The sequence below is a fragment of the Homo sapiens genome, chromosome 1, assembly GCF_000001405.40.
Source record: "Homo sapiens chromosome 1, GRCh38.p14 Primary Assembly".
NCBI classification, from domain to species: domain Eukaryota; kingdom Metazoa; phylum Chordata; class Mammalia; order Primates; family Hominidae; genus Homo; species Homo sapiens.
Window position 1 is genome coordinate 160,592,778 of NC_000001.11, and position 6,000 is coordinate 160,598,777.

Consider the following 6,000-nt stretch of genomic DNA (forward strand, 5'->3'; position numbering starts at 1 on the left):
TTCTTGAAGAGACTATCCTTTTCTCATTGTGCATTTTTGGCACATTTGTCAAAAATCAGTTGACCATAGATGTGTGAGCCCAGTTTATTTCTGGGCTCTCTCTCCTATTCCATTGGTTGATGAGTCTGTCTTTATGCCACTATCAAGTTGTTTTCACTGCTATAACTTTGAAATATATTTTGAAATCCTGTAGTGTAATGCTTTCAGTTTTGTTGTTGTTGATTAAGATCTCTTTGGCTATTCAGGGTCTTTTATGTTTCCATATTAATTTAGGATTGTTTTTCTATTTCTGTGAAGAATGACATTGGAATTTTGATAGGGAGAGCATTGAATCTGTAGATTTGGGTAGTATGGACATTTAAGCAATATTAATTCTTCCAATCCATGAACATGGGATAGCTTTCAATTTTATTTGTGTCATCTTCAATTTTTTCATCAATGTTTTATAGTTTTCAGTATACACATTCTTCACTTCCTCATTTAAATTTACTCCCAGCTATTTTTTAAATGATATTGTAAATAAAATTGTGTCCTTGTTAATTGAGAGTTTTTAGCTTGAAGGGTGTTGAAATTTATCAAAGGCCTTTTCTTCATCTATTGAGATAATCATGTGGTTTTTGTTATCAGTTCTGTTTACGTGATGGGTTGCATTTATTGATTTCCATATGTTGAACGAACCTTGCATCCCAGGGATGAAGCTGACTTGATAGTGGAGGATAAGTTTTTGATGTGTTGCTGGATTCAATTTGCCAGTATTTTATTGAGGATATTCACATTGATGTTCATCAGGTATATTGGCCTGAAATTTTCTTTTTTTGTTGTGTCTGTGCCAGGTTTTGGTATCAGGATGATGCTGGCTGCATAAAATGAGCTGGGGAGGAGTCCCTCTCTTCTTATTGTTTGAAATAGTTTCAGAAGGAATGGTACCAGCTCCTCTTTGTACCTCTGGTAGAATTCAGCTGTGAATCCAACTGGTCCTGGACTTTTTTTGGTTGGTAGGCTATTAATTATTGCCTCAATTTCAGAACTTGTTATTGGCCTACTCAGGGATTTGACTTCTTCCAGGTTTAGTCTTGGGAGGGTGCATGTGTCCAGGAATTTATCCATTTCTTCTAGATTTTCTAGTTTATTTGTGTAGAGATGTTTATAGTATTCTCTGATGGTAGTTTATATTTCTGTGGGTCCCATGGTGATATCCCCTTTATCACTTTTTATTGTGTCTATTTGACTCTTCTCTCTTTTCTTTTTTATTAGCCTGGCTATTGGTCTATCTATTTTGTTAATCTTTTCAAAAAATCAGCTCCTGGACTCACGGATTTTTTGAAGGGTTTTTTGTGTCTCTATCTCCTTCAGTTCTGCCCTGATCTTAGTTATTTCCTGTCATCTGCTAGCTTTTGAATTTGTTTGCTCTTGCTTCTCTAGTTCTTTTAATTGTGTTGTTAGGGTGTCAATTTTAGATCTTTCCCGCTTTCTTCTGTAGGCATTTAGTGCTATGAATTTCCCTCTAAACTCTGCTTTAGTTGTGTCCCAGAGATTCTGTTATGTTGTGTCTTTGTTCTCATTGGTTTCAAAGAACATCTTTATTTCTGTCTTAATTTTGTTATTTACCCTGTAGCCATTCAGGAGAAGGTTGTTCAGTTTCCATGTAGTTGTGTGGTTTTGAGTGAGATTCTTAATCCTGAGTTCTAATTTGATTGAACTGTTGTCTGAAAAACTGTTATGATTTCAGTTCTTTTGCATTTGCTGAGGAGTGTTTTACTTCCAATTATGTGGTCAATTTTAGAATAAGTGGAATGTGGTGCTCAGAAGAATGTATATTCTGTTGATTTGGGGTGGAGGGTTCTGTAGACATCTATTAGGTCCAGGGCTAAGTTCAAGTCCTGAATATCCTTATTAATTTTCTGTCTCATTGAAACTAGGTATTGATGGAACATATCAAAATAATAAGAGCTCTTCATGACAAACCCAGAGCCAATATCATACTGAATGGGCAAAAGCTGGAAGCATTCCCTTTGAAAACTGGCACAAGGCAAGGATGCCCGCTCTCTCCACTCCTAGTCAACATAGTATTGGAAGTTCAGGCCGGAGCAATTAGGCAAGAGAAAGAAATAAAGGGTACTGAAATAGGAAGAGAGGAAGTCAAATTGTCTCTGTTTGCAGATGACATGATTGTATATTTAGAAAACCCCATCGTCTCAGCCCAAAATCTCTTTAAGCTGATAATGAACTTCAGCAAAGTCTCAGGATACAAAATCAATGTGCAAAAATCACAAGCATTCCTATACACCAATAATAGACAAATAGAGAGCCAAATTATGACTGAACTCTCATTCACAATTGCTACAAAGAGAATAAAATACCTAGGAATACAACTTACAAGGTATGTGAAGGATCTCTTCAAAGAGAACTACAAACCACTGCTCAAGGAAATAAGAGAGGACACAAACAAATGGAAAAACATTGCATGCTCATGGATAGGAAGAATCAATATCGTGAAAATGGCTTACTCCCCGAAGTAATTTATAGATTCAATGCTATCCCCATCAAGCTACCATTGACTTTCTTCACAGAATTAAAAAAACTACTTTAAATTTCCTATGGAACCAAAAAAGAGCCTGGATAGGCAAGACAATCCTAAGCAAAAAGAACAGAGCTGGAGGCATCACACTACCTAACTTCAAACTATACTACAATGCTACAGTAACCAGAACAATGTGGTACTGGTACCAAAACAGATATATAGACCAATGGAACACAGCAGAAACCTCAGAAATAACACCACACATCTACAACCATCTGGTCTTTGACAAACCTGACACACACAAGCAATGGGGAAAGGATTCCCTATTTAATAAATGATGTTGGGAAAACTGGCTAGCCATATGCAGAAAACTGAAACTGGACCCCTTCCTTACACATTATACAAAAATCAATTCAAGATGGATCAAAGACTTAAACATAAGACCTAGGAACATAAAAACCCTAGAAGAAAACCTAGGCAATACCATTCAGGACATAGGCATGAGCAAAGACTTCATGACTAAAACACCAAAGCAATGGCAACAAAAGCCAAAATTGACAAATGGGATCTAATTAAACTAAAGAGCTTCTGCATAGCAAAAGAAACTGTCATCAGAGTGAACAGGCAACCTACAGAATGGGAGAAAAGTTTTGCAATCTATCCATCTGACAAAGGGCTAATATCCAGAATCTATAAAGAACTTAAACAAATTTACCAGAAAAAAATAAACAACTCCAACAAAAAGTGGGTGAAGGATATGAAGAGACATTTCTGTTGTTTTGCATTTGCTGAGGAGTGTTTTACTTCCAATTATGTGGTCAATTTTAGAATAAGTGGAATGTGGTGCTCAGAAGAATGTATATTCTGTTGATTTGGGGTGGAGAGTTCTGTAGACGTCTATTAGGTATTCAAAAGAAGACATTTATGTGGCCAAGAAACATAAGAAAAAAAGCTCATCATCATTGGTCATTAGAGAAATGCAAGTCTAAACCACAATGAGATACCATCTCACACCAGTTAGAATGGCGATCATTAAAAAGTTAGGAAACAACAGATGCTGGAGAGGATGTGGAGAAGTAGGAACGCTTTTACACTGTTGGTGGATGTGTAAATTAGTTCAACCATTGTGGAAGATGGTGTGGCAATTCATCAAGCATCTAGAACTAGAAATACCATTTGACCCAGCAATCCCATTACTGGGCATATACCCAAAGGATTACAAATCATTCTACTACGAAGACACAGGCACAAGTATGTTTATTGCAGCACTGTTCACAATAGCAAAAACTTGGAACCAACCCAAATGCCCATCAATGACAGACTGGATAAAGAAAATGTGGCATATAGTACCACGGAGTACTATGCAGACATAAAAAAGGATGAGTTTATGTCCTTTGCAGGGACATGGATTAAGTTGGAAACCATCATTCTCAGCAAACTAACACAGGAACAGAAAACCAAACAACTCGTGTTCTCACTGATAAGTGGGAGTTGAACAATGAGAACACATGGACACAGGGAGGAGAACATCACACACCGGGGCCTGTCAGTGAGTAGGGGGCTAGGGGAGGGATGGCATTAGGAAAAATACCTAATGTAGATGACGGGTTGATGGGTGCAGCAAACCACCATGGCATGTGTATCCCTATGTAACAAATTTGCATGTTCTGCACATATGTCCCAAAACTTAAAGTATAATAATAATAATAATGAAGGCCAGAGGAATTACAAAGTCCTTATTTTTAAAGGCATCAAAGAGTCTTTAAAGAGGAAGTAATGGGATATCATCACCCAAAATTCCAGAGAGGCAGAACCTTTTTCAGATGACCTGACATCATCAACCATTTTTTACCTTGAGGGGAGAGTTGGGGGGAGATTTGCTGATTCTAGACATGAGCTGAATATTGAGCTTAGTGTAGGCTGAGGAGGAAAGAACAATAAAAATTTTCTTGACTGTGTTAGTGTAGAGGGAAAATTTGGAAGCTGCTATAGTCTGAATGCATCACCCAAAATTTGTATGTTGGAAACGTAATCTCCAATGCAACAGTATAGGGAGGTGGGGCCTAATGGGAAGTGTTTAGGTCATGAGGGCTCTACATTCAAGAATGGATAGCTGACATTACAAAAAGGGCTTGTGGGAATAAGTTCATTCTCTTCTGCTCTTCTGCCATGTGAAAAAACTTTATGGCCCTTCTGTATTCTGCCATGTGAGGATGCAGCAAGTAGGCCCTCAAAAGACCCCAGCACCCTGATTTTTAATTTCCCAGGCTCCAGAACTGTGAGAAAATGAATTTCTATTCTTTATAAATTACCCAGTCTCAGGTCTTCTGTTATAGCAGCACAAATGGACTAAGAAACCTGAGGTGGTCCCTAACATATGGCTGATTTTCTCACAGGATATTTACTAGTTTCTAGGAGTGCATGAGAGTCTGATGATCTAGACAGATGTCTTCTAAAAGTAGAGTGAAATCTTTCACAGTCCTGCATATCGTGAAAGAGACCTGCCCTGGTGGTTTCTCCCTTAGTTGATTTGCCAAATTTTGAAGCTATATAGTATGGGAGGCTGAGGAGCTGGGCCGAGAAACTCTGAAAAGAAGGGCTAGCTCTCCTATTGTCTTTCAGATTGGAGGAGATGGATGCCTGACAGTGTCTTAATCAAAGGCCCAGGAGGCCACCTTATATAAATTGAAATCCAGGCCAATGAAGCTGGATCCCTGACTGCCATGAGGTGATCAGTCTCTTATATCTGCCTAACAGAAAGAAGGGAAAACACTATCTGGTGGAAGAAAGTATAACTTTAAGCATCTCTGGTTCTTTTATATATAATGCACAGCATTAAATTTAAGAAATACCAGGCAGACAAAAATATGATTGATTAACAAGAGGAAAAAGACTTTAGAAACAGACCTATAGATATTAGATTAGGATGCAAGGATGTTTAAATAGCTATAATTAATGTTTTGAAGAGAATAGTGGAAAAGATATACACAATAGGTGAAAAGATATACACAATAGGTGAAAATTTTCTGTAGAGAATTTCAACAGAGATTTTGAATTTATTGAAAAATGAGGCCAGACACAGTGGCTCACTCCTGTAATCCCAGCACTTTGGGAGGCTAAGATAGGCAGATTGCTACAGCCCAGGAGCTCAAGACCAGCCTGGGAAACATGGCAAAACCCTGTCTCTACAAAAAATACAGAAATTGGCTGGGCATTGTTACATGTGTCTGTAGTTCCAGCTACCAGGGAGACTGAGGTGGGAAGATTGCTTGAGCCTGGGAGGTCAAGGCTGCAGTGAGCCATTATCATGCCACTTCACTCCAGCCTGGGCAACAAAGTGAAACCCTGTCTTAAAAAAAAAAAAATAAAGAAAGGAAAGAAAAAAAAAGGAAAGAAAAAAAAGGAAAGAAAAGTGAATTGAATATTATAAGAGATAGGAAAAAAAAAAAACTGTATGGACCCTTTGTCATGTAATACCC

General features: G+C 37.9%; 1 annotated feature.

The window, feature by feature from the left end:
- Window positions 4,897–5,398: an enhancer, noted in NCBI's record as "NANOG hESC enhancer chr1:160567464-160567965 (GRCh37/hg19 assembly coordinates)". NCBI's record gives its function as "activates a minimal SCP1, AML or CMV promoter by ChIP-STARR-seq in primed H9 embryonic stem cells {active_cell/tissue: H9 hESC(primed)}" and the evidence as "EXISTENCE:reporter gene assay evidence [ECO:0000049][PMID:30033119]".